At 46.5% G+C, this 22,729-nt stretch overlaps 4 annotated features.

The window, feature by feature from the left end:
- Window positions 533-1,324: an enhancer, noted in NCBI's record as "H3K27ac hESC enhancer chr5:141625998-141626789 (GRCh37/hg19 assembly coordinates)". NCBI's record gives its function as "activates a minimal SCP1, AML or CMV promoter by ChIP-STARR-seq in primed H9 embryonic stem cells {active_cell/tissue: H9 hESC(primed)}" and the evidence as "EXISTENCE:reporter gene assay evidence [ECO:0000049][PMID:30033119]".
- Window positions 1,325-2,117: an enhancer, noted in NCBI's record as "H3K27ac hESC enhancer chr5:141625205-141625997 (GRCh37/hg19 assembly coordinates)". NCBI's record gives its function as "activates a minimal SCP1, AML or CMV promoter by ChIP-STARR-seq in primed H9 embryonic stem cells {active_cell/tissue: H9 hESC(primed)}" and the evidence as "EXISTENCE:reporter gene assay evidence [ECO:0000049][PMID:30033119]".
- Window positions 10,555-11,283: an enhancer, noted in NCBI's record as "H3K27ac-H3K4me1 hESC enhancer chr5:141616039-141616767 (GRCh37/hg19 assembly coordinates)". NCBI's record gives its function as "activates a minimal SCP1, AML or CMV promoter by ChIP-STARR-seq in naive H9 embryonic stem cells {active_cell/tissue: H9 hESC(naive)}" and the evidence as "EXISTENCE:reporter gene assay evidence [ECO:0000049][PMID:30033119]".
- Window positions 14,634-15,134: an enhancer, noted in NCBI's record as "H3K27ac hESC enhancer chr5:141612188-141612688 (GRCh37/hg19 assembly coordinates)". NCBI's record gives its function as "activates a minimal SCP1, AML or CMV promoter by ChIP-STARR-seq in naive H9 embryonic stem cells {active_cell/tissue: H9 hESC(naive)}" and the evidence as "EXISTENCE:reporter gene assay evidence [ECO:0000049][PMID:30033119]".

The raw sequence follows: 22,729 nt of genomic DNA, 5'->3' as shown, positions 1-22,729 counted from the left end.
AAAGGAGGGGAGAAAAGAGGGGAAAGAGAAAGAAGAGAAAATTTAAAAAGCAAGGAAGAGGCCTGGCGCGGTGGCTCACGCCTGTAATCCAGTACTTCGGGAGGCCGAAGCGAGCTGATCACTTGAGGTCAGAAGTTTGAGACCAGCCTGGTCAACGTGGCAAAACCCTATCTCTATTAAAAATACAAAAATTAGCTGGGCATGGTGGCACACGCCTGTATTCCCAGCTATTCGGGAAGTTGAGACAGGAGAATCTCTTGAACCAGAGAGGTGGAAGTTGCAGTGACCTGAGATTGCGCCACTACACTCCAGCCTGGGCAACAGAGTGAGACTCTGTCCACCACCCCACACCCACCCCCGAAAAAAATTAAGGAAGAAAAGATGGAAGGAAGGAGGGAGAAAGGCAGGCAACTGGGCATTTCCTGCCCAGTTCATTCATCTTGTAAAAGTTCTTTCACAGGCTGGTAACTCCTACTTGGTTTGTTAAGCCAAGCTGATACACCCTGGCTTTCTAGCCAGGCAGAGTGTGGGGGCTGAGAAAGACTTTGTGGGCCTACGTGTCCCTTCTTCCCCTGCCAGATTTCTGTCACACCTCAAAGGTGATTTTCTTTTCTTTTTCTTTTTTTTTAAAGACGGAGTCTCGCTCTGTCGCCCAGGCTGGAGTGCAGCGGTGCAGTCTCAGCTCACTGCAGGTTCAAATGATTCTCCTGCCTCAGCCTCCCAGGTAGCTGGGATTACAGGCACATGCCCAACTAATTTTTGTATTTTTAGTAGAGACAGGGTTTCACCATCTTGGCCAGGCTGATCTTGAACTCCTGAACTTGTGATCCGCCTGCCTCAGCCTCCCAAAGTGCTGGGATTACAGGAGTGAGCCACCACGCCTGGCCTCAAAGGTGATTTTCTGGGCAAGAGTTTTCTGGCAGGGACTGGGTGGCGCAGCCTGGTAGGGTCTTCCGTGTCTGCCTCCCAGCCAGAGTTTCCATGGGAGACCCTTACTGGCCTCAGAAAAGCCAGCTTCCCCTTCCTCTGGTGTTTTCTGGGGGGCTCCCACAGAGTGCTCCTGCATCAGAAAGGAGAGCCAGAGGCACCCCAGGAGAGCAATGAGAAGGAAACATGCAGCCGTTTGGCGCATGTAAGGATACGCAGGTGTAAGTACGTTAAGTGGTGTCTCCATATGTAGACGCATGTATGGGTGCCTGTGTATCTTTCCTGGTGAGCTAATTACCACCTTCCCGAGAGCCTGGGAAGTGACTCACTATCTGGCAGAGTATGGACAGCCATGCCAGGGACTCAGGCCCAGCCATCCCTCCAGAATGGACTGGAGGCTGTAGAGAACCACACAGATCCAGCGTGCCAAGGTCCAGTCCAAACAGCAAACAGATGAAAAAATGCAACTTATTTCTCTAATCTGCTTGTGCTGATCGTGCCAGAAACAAATACCAGCAGGCCTGGATAAAATGTTTCTGTTCATTTGCCTCGGCTCTGAGCCACCAGCCTCAGAGTGGAAGGAAAAAGAGCAGATTCTGGGGGTGTTTTGTCTGGCTTGCTGGGCCCTTCTGCCCCTTTCCCCTCTGGAAAGGAGGGACGTGGCGTTATCTGGAGCCCCCCACACTCAAGACCTGAAACAGCCCCTTCAGTTTCCCACAAACAAGTTTCAGAAGCGGAAACTGGTGGTGGCTCCCCAGGGTAGAAATTGAGAGCTCAACACTAAACCACTTCCTTTGCCTGGTAACAATGCATGAGGAATTTCCACAAATCCCCTTAGTTGTCATGGCTTCCGCTCCTCAACCTGGGAGAAGACAGCCTGGGACATTCCACCTCCCACCTCCAACCTCTTTTGATCTATTTGGCTCCTGGAGGGGCTTGGAGATCAACAACATACATTTCCCTTCCCTATTTTTCCACCAGGAGACAAGAAACATCCAAGTCTGACCAAGCGTGAGAAGAAGCCCAGCCCAGCCCAGCCCTGCAGCATCACCAAGGGCTGTTTTCTAGGTTTGGAGAAGAAAGGAGCTTAAAGGAAGGGGTTGCGGACAACCCAGGAAGTAGAGTACAGTGCTAAGGGTGTGACCTTGTAGAGTCAAACAGACCTGGGCCCATGAATGGTCTCCACCACTTTTGAGCTGTGTCGCATTGGGAGGTGACCTGAGCTCTCTGATAATCAAAGGTCCTCAAAAGATGGTCATGAGGGGCCAATGACAGAGGTGTTTTGTTTTTTTTTTGTTTTTTTTTTTTTTGAGACGGAGTCTTGCTCTGTCGCCCAGGCTGGAGTGCAGTGATGTGATCTCAGTTCACTACAACCTCCGACTTCCTGGTTCAAGCAATTCTCCTGTCTTAGCCTCCCGAGTAGCTCGGATTACAGGCGCGTACCACCACGCCCAGCTAATTTTTGTATTTTTAATAGAGACAGGGTTTCACCATGTTGGCCAGGATAGTCTTGATCTCCTGACCTCGTGAACCACCCGCCTCGGCCTCCCAAAGTGCTGGGATTACAGGCGTGAGCCACCGTGCCTGGCCAATGACAGAGGTTTATAAAGCACTTAGCACTCTGCTGACAATCAGTAAGCACTTGATCACTGTGAGCTGCTGCTGCAGTGACCCCAAAGGTCTACTCCCTTGAGACTCTTCAGCCTTTCACAGCAGAACCTCAGTGCCCCTCACCTGCCATGAGGGTTATAGGTCTATGTGCACACAGACCACAGCCACCATGTGCTCCAGCCCATAAAGACCCTTAGAAAAACACCCGGTGTGCATGCCAATGTCCATGCCAGCAGTGCTTCCCACACATGCTCCTGGAGCTTCCTGCCCATTCTCAGGGTACCAGTGGAGTGCTGGGTTCTGAGCAGAGGCCAGGAGAATGAGGCCCTGCCAAGCTCTGGACCTCACTCAGCCACCGGAGATCAGGGCAACTGTGCTTGTGTCAGAACTGGTCTAGCCTCAGTCCCTCATTTTCAAAGTGTGCTGGGAAGAATCACCACCTTATTGGAGCCTCAGATCCTCCACCTGGAAAATGGGATGGTGTTATGAACTAAATTGTGTTTCCCCAAACACAATTCATATGCTGAAGCCCTAACCCCCAATGTGACTGTATTTATGGAGATAGGACCCAAAAGGAGGCAGGAGGGGTTAAATGAGGTCATAGGCTATGGTTTTAATCAGATAGGACTGGTGTCCTTATAAGAAGAAGAAGAGACACCAGAGACTCTCTGTCTTGGTGTGTGCACAGAGAAGAAGCCATGTGAGGAAACAGCAAGAAGGTGACCATCCGCAAGCCAAGAAGAGAGGCCCCACCAGAAACCAACCTGGCCAGCACCTTGATCTTGGACTTCTAACCTCCAGAACTGTGAGAGAATAAATTTCTGTTGTTTAAACCACATAGTCTATGGTATTTTCTTATGGCAGCCCAAGTAGCCTCATATAAAGAGGTGGACTGAATCGGCACCCTGTGAAGGAAGAGTGTGCATTAGAGGGGCCCCAGCGACCAGCCACCATGGAAGGCAGGCACAGGGGGGCTGGGGAGATGGGCTCCTGATCCTCCATACCCATATCATTGGAGACGGCATATATCATGGCTAGGGTTTATATATATATATATATTGGGGTTTAATTACCTATTTTTTTTTTTAAGAAACTTCTCTTGCTGAATAATTTTTTGAAACCACCGGACTGAAGGATTTCTCATCCCTGTGCTGAAGAATTGTGGAGTCACAGGACTCAGGGACCTGCCCAGATTTAAGGGTCTGTGACTTGGGAGAAATCTTGGTTTCCAATATTAATGGAACATTTAGCCGGAACCAGGCTGCCTTACACGCTTTACACACATTAACACATTCAATCTTCTCCTAAGCCCTCCAAGATAGGTCTGCTTGTCATCACCATTTTGCGGATGAAGAAACTATGGCTCAGATGGGTTCACTCACTTGCTCAGGGTCATGCAGAGTGAGCTGTTTGATTCTAAAGCCCATGTCTATCTTCCACCATCCTTGAAGAAGGGAGAGGAAGTCACTAGGTAGTCATTCTGTCAGCAAGTATCACCCGCAACCCCATGTAGCCAAAAACCTGCCATATATAGTGAGGAATCTCCTCATACCATCTCAGGATCTCAGGACATAAGTCAAGGGGTTGGTTTCCTAATTCTCCTTGGAATTCTATGTATCTCATAAACATGGGTTCAGATCTGTTGTTCCAACGTATTTTTGCATTTTATGCTACATATTTGGATTAGGACTTTTTAAACACTAAAATGAATTTATATAAAGTGAGTAGATTGTCATTTTGAACTCAGTGTTTCTTAATGTTTTCTTACTGGACCTGCAGGATGAACAATGCCTCATTAAACATTCCAGACATTCAAGAAAGGATGAGTGGAATAAAACTGTCATTATTTGCGGAGGAAGGATTAGCTACATAGAAACCCCAAAATAATATGCAGATACAGCGTTTGAATTAATAAGAGAGGTCTGCAAGATTGCTGGATACAAGAATCATTTGCATTTCTATAGAATTTCTATACATCAGCAACAATCAGTTGCAAAATGTAAATTTCTTATAAAGATGCCCATTTCTAATAGGCACCAAAACATTTTTAAGCACCTAGGAATGAACACCAAGGATTCCCACACACAGAGAAAAGTCTACATAATGACACAGAGATAAGGTGGACATCTGAAAGCCAAGAAGAAAGCCTCAGAAGAAATCAACCCTCCTGGCATATTGTTCTTGGACTTTCAGCCTTTAAGACAGTGAGAAAATAAATTTCCATTTTTTAAAAAGTACTTAGAGGCCAGGCACGGTGGCTCACACCTGTAATCCTCGTACTTAGGAAGGCCAAATTGGATGGATTGCCTGAGCTCAGGAGTTCGAGACCAGCCCAACATGGTGAAACCCTGTCACTACTAAAATACAAAAAATCAGCTGGGCATGGTGGCGTACACATGTAGTCCCAGCTACTCAGGAGGATGAGGCACAAGAATTTCATGAACCTGGGAGGCAGGGGTTGTAGTGAACTGAGATTGTACCACTGCACTCCAGCCTAGGTGACAGAGTGAGACTCTGTCTCAAAAAAAAAAAAGGACTTGGGAATAAATCTATAAAAGATACACAAAACTGTCTTAGTCCATTTTGTATTCCTATAAAGGAATACCCAGGGCTGGGTAATTTATATATTAAAAAAAAGGCTTATTTGGCTCATGATTCTCATGACTGGAAAGTTCAAGATTGGGCATCTGCATCTGGTAAGGGCTTCAGACTGCTTCCACTTACGGTGGAAGTTGAAGAGGAGCTGGTGTGTGCAGAGTTCGTATGTCGAAAGAGGAAGCAAGAGTGTGAGAGGGGAGGGGGATGCCAGGCTCTTTTTAACAACCAGCTCTTGAGGAAACTAATGAGTGAGAGTGAATGAGTGAGAACTCATTCACTCCCCAGCCACACCTCAAGGAGGGCATTAATCTAGTCATGAGGAACCTGCCCCCATGACACAAACACCTCCCATTAGCCCCTACCTCCAACATCGAGAATCAAATTTCAACATGAGGCTTAGAGGGGTCAAACACCCAGAACTCTTTATGGAAAAATGATCAAGCTCTAAATGCTACTTTTAAAAGTGGGAGGATCACTGAGGAGTTTGAGACCAGCCTGGGCAACACAGCAAGATCCTATCTCTATAAATTTTTTTTTTTTTCAATTAGCCAGATGTGGTGACATGTACCTATAGTCCCAGCTACTTGGGAGGTTGACGGAGGAGGATCACTTGAACCCAGGAGTTCAAGGCTGCAGTGAGTATGATCATTCCACCATACTCCAGCTTGGGTGACAGAGTGAGATCTTGGTTCGGGGGTGGTGGGGGGTGGGTGGCGGGGAAAGCCCTAAATAAATGAAGAGAAATGCAATGTTCTTAGGTAAAAAGATTCAATATCATAACTGTCAATTGCCTTTAACGCAACACCTGTAAAAATCCCAACAGGCTTTTTTTTTTTTTTTTGAGATGGAGTCTCGCTCTGTGCCCAGGCTGGAGTGCAGTGGCGCGATCTTGGCTCACTGCAAGCTCCACCTCCCGGGTTCACGCCATTCTCCTGCCTCAGCCTCCTGAGTAGCTGGGACTACAGGCCCCTGCCACCACGCCTGGCTATTTTTTTTTTATTATTAGTAGAGATGGGGTTTCACCGTGTTAGCCAGGATGGTCTCGATCTCCTGACCTTGTGATCCGCCCGCCTCGGCCTCCCAAAGTGCTGGGATTACAGGCGTGAGCCACAGCGCCCAGCCCCAACAGGCATTTTTAAGAGACTTGAAAAGCTATTTCAAAAATGTATATAGAAGAGCAACTGTCCAAGAATGTCAAGGCACTTATGAAAAAGAGTAAATTGAGGGGAACCTACCCTACCAGATACCATGATTTAACTTACCATTGAGACTGTAGTAATAAAAATGATGTGGTATTGGAAAGGGATGGACACATAGATCAATGGACCAGAACAGAGAACCTAGAACAATATCCATGTATATATGGAGACTTGATTTATGACTCAGTGGGCATTTCAGATATTGGGTAAAGCCTGGACTATTTAATAAATGGTGCTGAGACACTTGGTTAATTAAATAGAAAAGAGTGGCCAGCTCAGTGACTCACACCTGTAATCCCAGCACTTTGGGAGGCCAAGGTGGGCGGATCACCTGAGTTCAAGAGTTCAAGACCAGCCTGGCCAACATGGCGAAACCCTGTCTCTACTAAAAATACAAAAAAATTAACTGGGCATGGTGGTGTGAGCCTGTAATCCCAGCCACTCCAGAGGCTGAGGCAAGAGAATCGCTTGAACCCAGGAGGCAAAGGTTGCAGTGAGCCGGGATCCCACCATTGCACTCCAGCCTGGGCAATAGAACAGGACTTCATCTCAAAAATAAATAAATGCAAATAAATAAATAAACAAATAAATAAAATAGAAAAAAGCAAAATTGCATCCCTGCCTCATACTATATACCAAAAAATCCATTCTAGGACTTAAATATGAAATGCAAAACTATAAAACCTTTAAAAGGCAACAGAGAGAAATACTGTTATATGCTTAAGAATGGGGAGAATTTTTTAAACAAGAACAGAAGCCCAAACTATAAAGGAAACAATTGATAAATTCAACTACATTTTTAAAAGAGAGAGTAAAAAGATAACTTAGGCCAGGTACGGTGGCTCACGCCTGTAATCCCTTTGGGAGGCCAAGGCGGCCGGATCACCAGGTCAGGAGTTCGAGACCAGCCTGGCCAACATAGGAAAACCCCGTCTCTACTAAAAATACAAAAATTAGCCGGGTGTGGTGGCACGTGCCTGTAGTCCCAGCTATTCGGGAGGCTGAGGCAGGAGAATCGCTTGAACCCTGGAGGTGGAGGTTGCAGTGAGCCGAGACCACACCATTGCACTCCAGCCTGGGTGACAGAGTGAGACTCCATCTCAAAAAAAAAAAAAAACAAAAAAAGAGATAACTTATTGGGAAAGAGATAACTTATTGGGAAAGGATATTTGGGACATATTTAAATAACAAAGGATTAGTATGGAGAATATATAAAGTATTCCTACAAACCAAAAAGAAAAAGCAAAAATAAATTATAAACATGAGCAAAAGCCTTGAAAAAGCCTTTCAAAGGGGAGGAAATACAAGTGGCTCATTAGCATGTGAAAATATACTTAACCTCATTAGTAATCAGAGAAATACAAATTAAAACCTTGATGAAGCCAGGTGTGATGCCTCATGCCTGTAATCCCAGCACTTTGGGAGGCCCAGCTAGGAGGACGGTTTGAGGCCAGGAGTTTGAGACCAACCTGGGCAACATAGTGAGACCCCATTTCTACAAAAAATAAAACAAACTATCCAGCTGCAGTAACACGCTCCTATAGTCCCAGCTACTTGGGAGGCTGAAGCAGGAGGATTGCTTGTGCCCAGGTGTTCAAGGGTGCAATGACCTATATGATCATGCTACTGCATTCCAGCCTGGGTGACACAGACCCTGTCTCAAAAAAAAAAAAAAAAAAAAAAAAAAAATTCCTTGAGGAGATACTCTTCCACACTTACCCAACTGACTACAATCAGAAAGCCAGACAAGGCCAGGTCTTGGAGCAACAAGAACAGGATGTGGAGCAACAGAACTGCTCTCCACCACTAATAGTAGAATAAACTGGTAAAACCACTTTGGAAAAGAGCCTCGCCTTAGCTAATAAAGACAAATATGCACATGTTCTACTACCCAGCAATTCCAGTCCTATGTTATGCACTCTAGAAAAACTCCTGCCCAAGGGTACCAGGAGGTATGCACAGATGTTCATGGCAGGGTTTTTCAGCAGGGTCAGGACCAGAAGGAGGAAGAACGGCTCCTAGGGCAAAAAACTTAAGGTGGTACTCCCCTACTCCCCTTCAGGACTGTTGTAGGTTGTGGTCTCTAATATTGCACGCGCAGTGTTGATAGCAAGCTGAATGATAGCCCTTCAAAAGTACATCTGTGTCCCAAAACCTGTGCATGTGACCTTATTTGGATAAAGGGTTTTTGGAGATGTAATGAAGTTAAAGATCTGAAGATGAAATCATTCTGTTTTTTGTTTGTTTGTTTGTTTGTTTTGAGACGGAGTCTCACTCTGTCACCCAGGCTGGAGGGCAGTGGTGCGATCTCGGCTCACTGCCAGCTCCGCCTCCTGGGTTCACGCCATTCTCCTGCCTCAGCCTCCCGAGTAGCTGGAACTACAGGCGCCTGCCACCACGCCTGGCTAATTTTTTGTATTTTTAGTAGAGACGGGGTTTCACCGTGTTAGCCAGGATGGTCTCGATCTCCTGACCTCGTGATCCACCCGCCTCGGCCTCCCAAAGTGCTGGGATTACAGGCGTAAGCCACCGCGCCCGGCCTGAAATCATTCTGGATAGACTGGTTGGGTCCTATATTCAATGACAAGTGTCCTTAGAAGAGACACACAGAAGAGGGACACAGGGAGAAGAGGGGAAGGCCATGTGAAGGCCAAGGCCGAGGTTGTAGTCATGCAATCATAAGCCATGGGCCAAGGACACTTGGAGCCACCAGAAGCTAGAAGAGGCAAGGAAAGAGTCTCTGCTAGAGCCTTTGAAGGAGTATGGCCCTGCCAACACCTTGATTACAGACTCCTGGCATCCAGAACTGCGAGAAGAAAAATTTCTGTTGTTTTAAGACACCAAGTTAGCAATAATTTGTTATGGCAGCACTAGGAAACTAGTGTGACTTCCCTCTTCCTCACCCTAGTCCCAGGCCTGTTGCTCAGGATAGTAAAAAAATGAAACAACTCTAATGTCCATCAACAGTGGAATACATGAATAAATTGTGGTGCTATTTATAATGGAATATTTTAGCAGAATGAATGAACTGCAGCTATGTAGATCAGTTAGGATGGGCCTCGAAACCAATGTTGAGTGAAAGAAGCAAATCAGAGAAAACTACAGTGTATGATTCCATGTATACATTTCAAAAATGAGTAAAAGGATACAATGTATTGTTTAGATTTGCATGCACAAATGGTAAAACTATAAAGAAAGCAGGTGATTTATCAACACAAAACAGTGGGTGCTTCTGGGAAGGAGGGACATGTGCTCAGAAAGAGGCACTCGGGGCTTGTAAGGCTGCAGTGTTTAAGCTGGCTACTGGGTGCCGTGGTAGTTCTTGTATTATTCCTCTTTACATTCTATATCTTGCATTTAATATGCTTTTTGATATCTTCAATATAGTTTGTAATGAAAATTAACAAAGCAAGTATAGGCTATGGAAATTAACATGCATGGTATAGTATGCTGTGTCTCTTCTTAGATGAAAGATCCCATAAGATACGGGCTAGTTAGATTGTGAGTCAGCCTGTCAATCAGTCATCTAACACGTATGCACCAAGCTCTGGTACAGTGTGAGGCTCTGGGTTCCATAACGAAGTAACACATTTTAGGGAAAGGTAATGGGAGTGGAGACAAGAGAGAACACACAATGATTTATTTGCAAAATTAATTTTTAAATCCAAAAATGTGTTTAAGGGCCATGACTTACAACATTTTCTGTTACTCAAAGTCTTAAACCTTTCCAGGATTGATACATGAAAACAGTTCAAAGGTGGGAGTTTGAACACATGCATTCCAAAAGCCCGCTAGAGTAAGATGAAGGGAATTAAAAAAAAAAACAAAAAACCCAGGCCAGGCACAGTGGCTCACGCCTGTAATCCCAGTACTTTGAGAGGCCGAGGCAGGCGGATCACCTGAGGTCAGAAGTTCGAGACCAGCCTAACCAACATGGATAAACCCCATCTCTACCAAAATACAAAATTAGCCAGGCGTGGTGGCACATGCCTGTAATCCCAGATACTCTGGAGGCTCAGGCAGGAGAATTGCTTGAACCCGGGAGGTGGAGGTTGCAGTGAGCTGAGATTGCACCATTGCACTCCACCCTGGGCAACAAGAGCGAAACTGTCTCAAAAAAAAAAAAAGACAAAAACCTAGAAGGACAAAGTGAACAGGGGAAGAGACAGCAGCCAAAAAATAAGGAAAACAACATAAACCAACAAAAACCCAACAACAACAACAAAAAGCAGACCCATAAGTCGTAACCAATTTAGCAAACCCAACAAAGCTGGCTCCTAATCCAGCAGTCGGAATGCTGAGCAGCAATGTGATTTGCACTGCAGATCCCTACAGAGGGCTCCAGGATCTACAGCACCAAGGATCTCTAGCAGTGGAGTGTTGGTGGTGGGAGAAGAGAGACAGATCCTCTCATATTGTTTTATATTATCTTATACTCAAAAAAGGGAAGAGAAGCAAAACTAAAGGCAGGTAGCCCAGTGCCTAGGAACCAGATCCGAAACCAAGGAACCAGACCCGAAACCAGGCCTGGGCCTGCCTGACCTAAGCCTGGTAGTTAAAGATCGACCCCTGACCTAACCGGTTATGTTATCTATAGATTCCAGACATTGTATGGAAAGGCATTGTAAAAATCCCTGTCCTGTTCTGTTTTGTTCTGATTACCATTCTGATTACTGGTACATGCAGCCTCCAGTCACATACCCGCTGCTTGCTCAATCGATCACGACCCTCTCACGCAGACCCCCTTAGAGTTGTGAGCCCTTAAAAGGGACAGGAATTGCTCACCCGGGGAGCTCGGCTCTTGAGACAGGAGTCTTGCCGATGTTCCCTGCCGAATAAACCACTTCCTTCTTTAACTCGGTGTCTGAGGAGTTTTGTCTGCGGCTTGTCCTGCTACAGTGGAGCTTCCGAGCCCGAAAACGGGCTGTACAGAAGCCAGACTCCACACCCTCCCACTCGCCATGCAGTCCGGTTGCTGCCTCTCCCCAAAAGCTGGCAGAGACAGGCGTTTTATTCTCCGAAGAAGGAACAACAGAGGGTCAACAAGCAGCACAGGTGACTACAGTGGGATTAAGTTTACAGACTGTGTGCTGAGACAGCCCCAGCCCTCTGCCTTCATCTGTCCCCAGAAGGTGGACAGCCAGGCGTCGACCTTCCAGGCGGGAGATTGGAGGATTTTTATGCTTTGAGACACGGAGGAGGCAGAAGAATTAGCTTTTGTGCCTTCCAAACCTGAAATAAAAATCGGAGTGGCCCTGAGCTGCAGTTTCCACACAGAATGGAGTGGCTTCTGGGGTACCGGGAGGCCAGGAGGGAAGAGCTCAGATGATCCGCAGCCCTGCCTAGGGTGGGGGTGGTGCTCAGGCATCGCTAACCTGTCTCAAAGGGCTTCTCTCCGGCTGTGGGTGCTGTCACTTGGGGTCACAGATCCGCCTGAGTGTTCTGCTCCAGAAGTCAGAAAAGGCCCCAAGTAACTTAGCGTGACTTAAGGCCTCATGACAGAGACCCCATCATGAATCAGAAAAAAAGAGCAGAAATACTCATTAGAAACCCAAGAGAAATTTTGAAAAGATCCAACCCCCCCACCCCCACTCCCTGCTCCAACCCCATTGTCATCGGCTCAAGCCACAAAGCCTTCGGTCCCTGGGGAGCCCCAAGTGCCCTTCTTCCCTGCGGGTACCACACAGTCTGGACAAGAAAGCATTCCTTTCGGTGGGGCCAGGAGGAAGTGGGCCCAGCCCTGCCAGGCAGGAGGGGAAGAAGGATTCCATTCCCATTGTTCTCGCTCAGACTGCCCTACAATGGGCAAAGGAGCAGGAGGAGGGGGGGCCTGGGGGCCTGTCCGACCAGCTGGAGCAGCAGAAGGGGGCCTTCCCACCTCCCTCCTGGGCTCTTGTGTTTTCTCCCTCTCTTCCTCCCTACTCTGGATCTCCCACACCCTCTTCTCCCCCTTACCCACACCCCCCCACCGCCCCTCAACAGTATCTTCAGTGTGCAGGAAGCTCAGGGCCCAGGGGCCCCGCCCTGATGCCTGTCACCTGTCGCCAGACCCTGCTTGCCCTGCGGAGCTCTGCGGCATTCCTTCTCGCACATCTGTAGCTATGATCCATGCAGTTAAAATCTGAACACATTCCCAACCTGGCAGAGCCCACCCCATGATTCCGAGGACCACAGCCACACTGGGTGGAGTTCGATGACTGATCGACTTCTTCCATTGTGATCATCACCCCCACACACTCACAGGCTGGAAGTGTGATGGCTGAGGTCAGGTGACAAGTGACTAATAATAACCACTTCTTTCACTGCTTTTAACAAATATGTGCCAGGCACTGTTACAGGTGCTGGGGATACAGCAGTGAACTAAACAAAGATTTCTCTCTTTAAGTAGCTTATGTTCTAGCAGGCAGATCCTTCCTTGTTTCTCTGCTCTCAACTGTGTGCCAGGTCCGTGTGACAATAAAATGCCTCCTTGGCAGGGGTGTGCAGGAGTAGGGTTTTTGATGCTACCTAAACCTGTCCTCAAGGTCTGCTTCTATCCATCTGCAAACTGTATGACCTTAGGAGAATTTTTCCTTTTTTCCTTTTTTTTTTTTTTAAATGAGAAAGGGTCTTATTCTGTCACCCAGGCTGTAGTTTAGTGGCGTGAACATAGCTCACTGTTACCTTAAATCCTTGGGCTCAATTGATCCTCTTGCTTCAGCCTCCTGAGTAGCTGGGACTACAGGTGCATGCCACCATACCTGTCTAATTTTATTTATTTTTGTAGAGATAGGGTCTTGCAGTGTTGCCCAGGCTGGTCTTGAACTCCTGGTCTCAAGAGATCCACCCACCTCAGCCTCCCAAAGTGCTAGGATTACAGGCATGAGCTATCATGTCCACCCAGGAGAATTTTTCCTAGTTTTCTAAGTCTCAGTGTCCTCATCTGTAAGATAGGGTTTGTTACTGAAATAAACATTATTGTTAAGGGTAATGGTAGTGTATTACCACAGGGGTTGTTGTAAGGGCCCAGTGAGAAGATGTGTGTCAAGAGCATCTTGAGTGCTATGGATGTAATAAATAAATGCTCAATAAACATTAGGTATCATCATGAGGTCACTCCTCCTGGGGGAAGCTATCCATAGGAGGGAATTTTCTTTTTTTTCTTTTTCTTTTTTTTTTTTTTTTTTTTTTTTGAGACTGAGTCTCGCCCTGTCGCCCAAGCCGGAGTGCAGTGGTGCGATCTCGGCTCACTGCAACCTCTGCCTCCCGGGTTCAAGCGATTCTCCTGTCTCGCCCTCCGGAGTAGCTGGGACTACAGGCGCATGCCACCACACCCAGCTGATTTTTTTTTTTTTAGTAGAGACGGGGTTTCACCATGTTAGCTAGGATGGGTTAGGAAGGAATTTTCACCCTGGTTTACATTGTACCTGCAAAAGTTCCACTTGCCTCGACTGCTCCCTTCTCTGTGACATCTTATTGTGAGCCAGCTCCAAAGCCAGAAATACCTTGGGTTGTTTATTTTCCACTTGTGCATATGCTTACCCCAGTGGATGAGCCTCCCCTGAGGCTTACACTCAGGAGCTGTAATTGCAACCTGGCAGCCAATGCATGGAGCCAGAGGACAAGATCCAAATGCAAAGAAACTCTCTATATGGTTCAGACTTCTGCAGTCTTCGAGAAAGGACGATCCAGGAAGGTTTTTAATTGTTATCGGGCTATTTAAGAGGAAACAGCGTGCTCTGAGAGGGTCCTTTGTGAGCTACCAAACCAGAAGATGATGCAAGTTTCATCAGTTGTTTCATAGGTTTATTAGTCCGTTCTCATGCTGCTATACAGATACTACCCAAGACTGGTAATTTATAAAGGAAAGAGGTTTAATGGACTCACAGTTCTGCATGGCTGGGGAGGCCTCCGGAAACTTACAATCATGGCGAAGGCAAAGCAAGCACCTTCTTCACAAGGTGGCAGGAGAGAGAACCACAAAGAAGGAGCTTCCAAACAGTTACAAAATCATCAGCTCTCTTGAGAACTCACTATCGTGAGCACATCATGGGGGAACCACCTCCATGATCCAATCACTTCCCTCTCTCAACACGTGGGGATTACAATTCAGTATGAGATTTGGGTGGGGACACAGAGCCAAACCATATCAACAGGTGTTGGCACAAAAAGGCAGATTCCGTTGTGGTTCCCAACGGGGAGAACACAAGGGTGTTTGAAATCATTCACTGAGACCGGGCGTGGTGGTTCCCGTCTGTAATCCCAGCACTTTGGGAGGCCAAGGTGGGCAGATTCCTTGAGCCCAAGAGTTCGGGACCTGCCTGGGCAACATGGCAAAACCTCATCTCTACCAAAAAAATATAAAAATTGGCCGGGCGTGGTGGCTCACACCTTTAATCTCAGCATTTTGGGAGGCCGAGATGGGCAGATCACCTGAGCTCAGGAGTTTGAGACCAGCCTGGCCAACACGATGAAACCCCATCTCTACTAAAAATACAAAAATTAGCTGGGTGTGGTGGTGGGCACCTGTAATCCCAGCTACTCGGGAGGCTGAGACAGGAGAATTGCTTGAACCTAGGAGGTGGAGGTTGCAGTGAGCCAAGATCACGCCACTGCACTCCAGCCTGGGCAACAAAGAGTGAAACTCCCTCTGAAAAAAAACAAAAACAAAAAAATAAGCTGAGCATGGTGGTGCAGGCTCAGTGGTGCACCAGGGTGGGGACTGTTTACCATTGTTGCCATTAAATCCTGCCCACAAACGATGTCCAACTCTTCATGTTTATAGTGGGAGGGAGAAAACCATTTCAGAGTAGATATAAAGGAAGACCCTGAGTTTGCGAACCCCAGCTTCTCTAGAGATGTTAAATCCTAGTCTCATTTGGGGGCCATCTATACAGACATTGAAAGACTCAAAGAAACATCTGAGGAGAATATGATCTAATCCTATTGTCTTAAACAAATGTGTTTTCTGAGTTCTTCTCACCACAAACTTGACTTAATGAAGCCCCACACTATACACAGCATCCTGCTAAATGTTACCATATTTGTTTGTTGTCAAAGTGCTTCAGACATTTAATGAGGTTCCATTGAATTCTCAAGCTCCTAGATACGCAGAGTAAAGAGAATGGGGCACAGCCAACATTTCTCTCTGTTTGGATCTGAAGATTTGGGATAGGCCTAGATATCACAGAATCCAAGTCAGATTTTACCACGTGCGAATTGAGGAGTAGAGGCAGGGTAGGTGCTGTTTGCCATTCTGTGTATGCTGTGTCCACTGGAATAAGAAATTGGTATCAGCTCAGAAATCTCCAAGGGGACAGGTTCAAGGTGAAGGCACAATAAGCCCCAGAAAGGACTATGTCTGAGTTCCTAATTATGGTATCTCTCAGAGCCTGGCAAAATAGCACACAGAAGACCCTGTGTCAGCCCGAGTTCTGGTAGGAAATAGGTGGCACACTCAAACTGGATCAATAAGCAGTTTAATAAAGTCTGTATGTACGAGGTTTAAGTAAAGTAACAAGGGACAGTACAGTGTCCCAGGGCAAGCAATACTGGGGGGTTCTTTAAATTCCTAGGGGCAAGAAGGGGCAAGAAGAGGGAATGGTTGCCCATCCAGGGCACCACAGCAGGAAGAGGTTTCCTCTGCACCTCCGTCCAGCCTCCTGCTGGTGCTTCCCATTGGTTGAACCTAACTAGAGGGCAGAAGGAAAGGGAGGGCAAGGATGCAGTCCACACGCCTCTGCCTCTCTGGTCACAGAGCAGGGTAGAGAAAGAATAGACTGGATCTGGAATGGCAAACAGAAGACACCTAGCCCAGCCCTCAGAAAGGATTTGCTGGTTGACCAGAAGCCAGCATCTGACCAATACGAAGCTAAGAAAGGGGCCATGCGATGCTTCTCTCTGTTAGCTTTGCTTGTGGATAAAATCAACTTACTGAGCACCTATGCACCACGCCTGTGTTACCGGCATCACATAAACGATCTTAATCTTCAAAACATCACTGAGATGAGCAACGTTATTATCCCCATGTTACAGATGAGAAAATGGATTCTCAAAGGGTTTATGGAATTGGCTCAAGGCCTGTGCTTATTAATGGAGGAATAGGAACTAAAATACAGTTTCCTTTATTTTATTTATTTATTTATTTATTTATTCATTCATTCATTCATTCATTCATTCATTCATTTTGAGACAGAGTCTCACTCTGTCACCCACACTGGAGTGCACTGACACAATCTTGGCTCACTGCAACCTCTGCCCCCTGGGTTCATGCGATTCTCATGCCTCAGCCTCCTGAGTCACTGGGTTTACAGGCGCGCACACCACACCCAGCTAATTTTTATATCATTTTGGTAGAGACAGTGTTTCACTATGTTGGCCAGGCTGGTCTCCAACTCCTGACCTCGAGGGATCCACCTGCCTTGGCCTCCCAAAGTGCTGGGATTACAAGCATGAGCCACTGTGCCTGGCCTCTTTATTTTTATTTCCCAACTTTTTATTATGAAAATGTTTAAACATAGAGAAAGGTTGAAGGGATAAAACAATGAACATCTTTGTACTAACCACTTAGATTCAACAACTGGCAATATTTTGTCATATTTGTTTCATCTATATGTATACATAAATCTGTAGATTTTTTGGTTTACCTTTTCTGTATTTCTTTTTCAGTTTTCTATTGTGTTAAAGTACCTATAACATACAATCTACAGTCCTGATCATTTTTAAGTGTACAGTTTGGTGGTATTAAATACATTCATAATGTAGTGTAACCATCACCACCATCCATCTCTATAACTTTTTTCACCTGTAAAACTAAAATTCAAACAAGAGAGTTTCAACAAACCCATTAAACAACAACTCCCTACTTCGGGCTGGGCGTGGTGGCTCATGCCTGTAATCCCAGCACTTTGAGGGGCCGAGGTGGGCGGATCACAAGGTCAGGAGATTGAGACCATCCTGGCTAACACGGTGAAACCCCGTCTCTACTAAAAATACAAAAATAGCCGGGCGTGGTGGCACATGCCTGTAATCCCAGCTACTAGAGAGGCCGAGGCAGGAGAATTGCTCCGGGAGGGGGAGGTTGCAGTGAGCCAAGATCCCACTTGGAGTGCCACTTGGAGTCCCACTGGAGCGCCACTGCACTCCAGCCTGGGCGACAGAGCGCTCTGTCTCAAAACCAAACCAAACCAAACCAAAACAAACAAACAGACAAACAAAAACTCCCCACTTCTCCTTCCCCTCAAACCTGGTAACCGCCATTCTATTTCCGTCTCTATGATTTTGACTACTCTAAGCACCTCATATAAGTGGAATCATGAGGTATTTGTCTCTTTGTGATTAGCTTATTTCACTTAGCACCATGTCCTCAGGGCTTATCCATGTTGTAGTGTGTCCCAGAATTTCCGTATTTTTTAAAGCTGAATGACATTCCATTGTATGTAGGCACCACATTTTTGTTTCATTCATTCTGGATGAACATTCAGGTTGTTTCTAAATCTCAAGTATTGTAAACAGTGGGGCAAGAAACATGGGAGTGCTAACATCTCTTCAAGTTGCTGATTTCAATTATTTTGGATAAATACCCAGAAGTGGGATTGCTGTATGGTAATTCTATATTTAATTTTTTGAGGAATCTCCATGCAGTGTTTTCCATAGCAGCTGTATCATTTTGCATTCTCACCAACACTCTACAATGGTTCCAATTTCTCCACATCCTTGCCAAGTCTTACTATTTTGGTTTTTTGATAGCCGCCATCCTAATGGGTATGAAGTGATATCCCATTGTAGTTTTTATTTGCAGTTCTCTAATGATTAATGGTGTTGAACATCTTTCTCTGTGATTATTGGTCATTTGTTTATCTTTTTGGAGAAAATGTCTATTCAAGTCCTTTGCACTTTTTTTTTTTTTTTTTAGACGGCATCTTGCTCTATCGCCTAGCTGGAGTGCAATGGCACGATCTCGGCTCACTGCAACCTCTGCCTTCCGGGCTCAAGCAATTATTCTGCCTCCAGCCTCCTGAGTAGCTGGGATTACAGGTGACCGCCACCACACCTGGCTAATTTTTGTATTTTTAGTAGAGACAGGGTTTCACCATGTTGGCCAGGCAGGTGTTCAACTCCTGACCTCAAGTGATCCACCAACCTTGGCCTCCCACAGTGCTGGGATTACCGGCATGAGGCACCATGACCAGCCTCTTTCCACATTTTTGAATTGGGTTGTTTGAGCTAAATATGTAGATTTTTCCTTGGGAAAAATATAAAATAAGTTGTATAGTTCCTCATATATCTTCCAAAATGATGGCATTCTCCTCATAATCACTCTGCTACTGGCACAGTAAGAACATTAACATCAATTTCTAAATATCAATCAAACCAGCTTAGAGTCAAATTTCTCTAGTATTCCCAAAATATCTTTTATTTTATTTAATTTTTATTTAAATCAAGAGCCCATTAAAGTTTGAGCACTGCATATGGTTTTCATGAATTTTTATTTTTTATTTTATTTTATTTTTTGAGACGGAGTTTTGCCCCTGTTAACCAGGCTGGAGTGCAATGGCGTGATCTCAGCTCACTGCAACCTCCGCCTCCCGGGTTCAAGCAATTCTCCTGCCTCAGCCTCCCAAGTAGCTGGGATTACAGGCATGCACCACCATGCCTGGCTAATTTTTGTATTTTTAGTAGAGATGGGGTTTCTCCATGTTGGTCAGGTTGGCCTTGAACTCCTGACCTCAGGTGACCAGCTTGCCTCGGCCTCCCAAAGTGCTGGGATTACAGGCATGAGCCACCGAGCCCGGCGGTTGTCATGAATTTTAAGCCTCTTTTAATTTAGAACTGCATCCCAACTTTTTTTTTTTGAGACAGGGTCTCACTGTATCGCCCAGGCTGAAGTGCAGTGGCAGGATCTCAGCCCACTGCAACCTCTGCCTCCCAGGCTCAAGCAATCCTCCTGCCTCAGCTCCTAGAGTAGCTGGGAATACAGGCGTGTGCCGCCATGCCCAGCTAATTTTTGCATTTTCTGTTTTTTGTTTTTTCGAGACAGTTTCCCTCTGTCACCCAGGCTGGAGTACAATGGCGAGATCTCAGCTCACTGCAACCTCTGCCTCCTGGGGTCAGCCTCCCAAGTAGCTGGGATTGCAGGCATGTGCCAACACACCCAGCTAAGTTTTGTATTTTTAGTAGAGACGGGTTTTGCCATATTGGCCAGGCTGGTCTCGAACGCTTGGCCTCAAGTGACCTGCCCGCCTCGGTCTCCCAAAGTGCTGGGATTACAGGCATAAGCCACCATCCCTGGCCCCAACTTTCTTATTAAACAATATTGGCTTTCTTTTTTGTTTGTTTTTTGTTTTTTTTTTTGTTTTTTTGTTTTTTTGAGACGGAGTCTGGCTCTGTCACCCAGGCTAGAGTGCAGTGGCACGACCTCGGCTCACTGCAACCTCCACCTCCCAGGTTCACCTCATTCTCCTGCCTCAGCCTCCCAAGTAGCTGGGACTACAGGTGCCTGCCACCCCGCCTGGCTAATTTTTAAAATATTTTTAGTAGAGACGGGGTTTCACCGTGTTAGCCAGGATGGTCTCAATCTCCTGACCTCGTGATCTGCCTGCCTCGGCCTCCCAAAGTGCTGGGATTACAGGCGTGAGCCACCGTGCCCGGCCGATATTGGTTTTTTGAAGAGGCCAGCCCTGCTGTCCTATTGAACACTCTACATTCTCCATTGGTCTGATCATTTTCTCATGATGTCATTTAACTTGTTCTTCTGTTCCTCATCTCTGTAAACTGGAAGTAGAAGATGAATTTGATTCAGATTAAACATTTTTGGATGGAATGCTTTATAGGTGATGCTGGTCCCTCCTGTTGTATCTCCTCAGGAGGCCTTTCATGCTAAGTGGCCCTTGGAGCCTGCACTTTTACCTGCCAGTCAACAGACAGTTCCCCAGCTGGGGGTGAGGGTAGAGGAAGGCCTGGAGATAAGCTTATCAGCCATTAGAAAAATCTGTCTTGGCTGGGCGCGGTGGCTCACGCTTGTAATCCCAGCACTTTGAGAGGCCGAGGAGGGCGGATCACGAGGTCAGGAGATCGAGACCGTCCTGGCTAACACAGTGAAACACCATCTCTACTAAAAATACAAAAAATTAGCCTGGCGTGGTTGCAGGCCCCTGTAGTCCCAGCTACTCGGGAGGCTGAGGCAGGAGAATGGTGTGAACCCGGGAGGCGGAGCTTGCAGTGAGCCAAGATCGCCACTGCACTCCAGCCTGGGCGACAGAGCAAGACTCTGTCTTAAAAAAAAAAAAAAAAAAAAAAAAAAAATCTGTCTCATGGCAATCCAGACAGGGGATTTCATATTGAGATTTGTCTGGATGGTAGAATGGAAAATCTGTGGGAAAGTACAGGACAAGAAGGGGGAGAGGCAGGTGCCACTGCCTTCTGCAGAGGTGTAAGTCTCCACATTGTTGTAACCTATGTCAGTTTCCAAGTGCTCCAAGGAAAGGGAAATTCCCCACTGCGAAGCATAAACGTAGACTTATGCCTCTTTCAGAGGCGAGGCCACCCCTTTCCCACTACTCACGTGCACACACAACCAGGGATGTTCACCTTTCTTATGTGTTCCCTTTTGCCCATCAACTTATGTTCTTTTTTTTTTTTTTTTTTTTTTTTTTTTTGGTCAAGGACTCTCCTGCTGCAAGAAATAAAAATCCACTCCAGCTAACTTAAGTGAAAAGGGCTATATCAGAAAGAAACAGGAATATAAGGAAAGAGACAGGTTCCTAGGGGTCCTGAAGAAAGAACTGTTCAGCTTCTCTCAAACAACACCCAGCATGTTTAGTAGACTTGTTTTGGGGTGTCTGGCCAGCACACAAACCCCCAAGTGCCCTAAAAGCCCTGGTTTTTAGGACACCCTCCTTTGGCTATTGCATTATGGTTGGTCACTGGATCTACACTGAACCAGTTCAATTCTGCCTCCCAGAAATTTGGAGTTGGAACTAAGAGATGCAGGTCAGTCTCTGCTGGTTGCTTGAACTGAGAATGTGCTACTTCAGTAAAGCTGAGGAAGCCATCATGCAAAGAAGGAACAATGAGGCTGACACACAGAGAAACCAGAGGTGTCACAGGGTGCCAGAGAAAGGAGAGAGGCACTGCCCAGAGGCTTTTCCACAAGAGACCCTGGTTCCTTATAATTCACTCTTCTAGGTTTAATCCAGTTTGTAATGAGTCTCTGTTACCCTGCTACTAAATTATCCTAACCAAACAGTAGCAGACCAAGGGCAGGGCACAGAAGCAGCCTGTCCCAGTGGGAGGAATATTTTCCCTGACATTGTTTAGAATTGCTGGTGTATGGCAAGCACCTTTAGGTTGGTTTTATTCTTTATTCTCTTTTCATTCTCTGCAGACAATGCACCCCCTTATTGCCTGCACCGGGGGGCCGCTCCTGCCACCCTGCTCTTTGTACACTGCTGTGACTAAGTCAGTGAGGACCAAACCGGAAAGTTTTTGGAAAATGCTTTTGGAAGGGTTTTGGAAAATGCTTTTTAAAGTGCTTGTTTCCTTCTGCCTTCCTGGCCCTAATTCAAATGTGCCCCTGGAAGAAGCCCCCAGAAAGCCAAGAATTCCCAAAAGGCCCAAAGAAGGAAGTTTATCCTCTTTCCAGCCTAAAGAGGGGCAGAGGACATCTCTGCCTGTGGGAATCAGCCCTGGACCTCAGTGGGGCCAGAGCCCTAGTGTGAGGCCTGTTTCCAGCTAAGCACCTCTCCAGAGGCCACATTAGTCACCAGATTATGGATTTTCATCATGGTGGGAAGACGGCTGGTGTCACCTGCTTTCTGTAGGCATTCACTCTTCTGTTTACTCAATAAGATCCAGCTCTTAAAAGGTAGGGAGGGTTAAAGATGGGAACCCAGAAGCCTTCTTGGTGGAGGAGAACTTGCACGCAAGACTTGCAGACACAACTCAAGCGTTACTTTTCCCAGAGATATCCCAAGAAAGCCAGCCTCATCCCAAGCCTATGTGAGCATGCCCCTGCTGGGCTGAGATAAGCTACCTCAGGGAAGCAATGTTGCACAGTGGTTAAGAATGCGGTCTCTGAGCCAGGCTCCATGGCTCTGACTGTAATCTCGGTACTCTGGGAGGCCGAGGTGGGAGGATCACTGGAGCCAAGGAGTTGGAGACCAGCCTGGACAACATAGTAAGACCCTATCTCTACAAAAAGTAAAAACAAATGTAACTGGGCATGGTGATGCACACCTACAGTCTCAACCACTCAGGAGGCTGAGGCGGGAGGATTGCTTGAGCCCGGGAGTTCGAGGTTAGGGTGAGCCATGATTGTGCCACTGCACTCCTGCCTGGGTTTGAATTCTGGCTTCATCACTTAACAGCTAATCACTTCAGACAAGTTGCTCCATCTTACTTAGCCTCATTTTTTT

The sequence above is a fragment of the Homo sapiens genome, chromosome 5 (assembly GCF_000001405.40).
Source record: "Homo sapiens chromosome 5, GRCh38.p14 Primary Assembly".
NCBI lineage: Eukaryota > Metazoa > Chordata > Mammalia > Primates > Hominidae > Homo > Homo sapiens.
The sequence above is the reverse complement of the archived record's forward strand: the minus strand, read 5'-3'. Positions and strand labels throughout refer to the sequence as shown.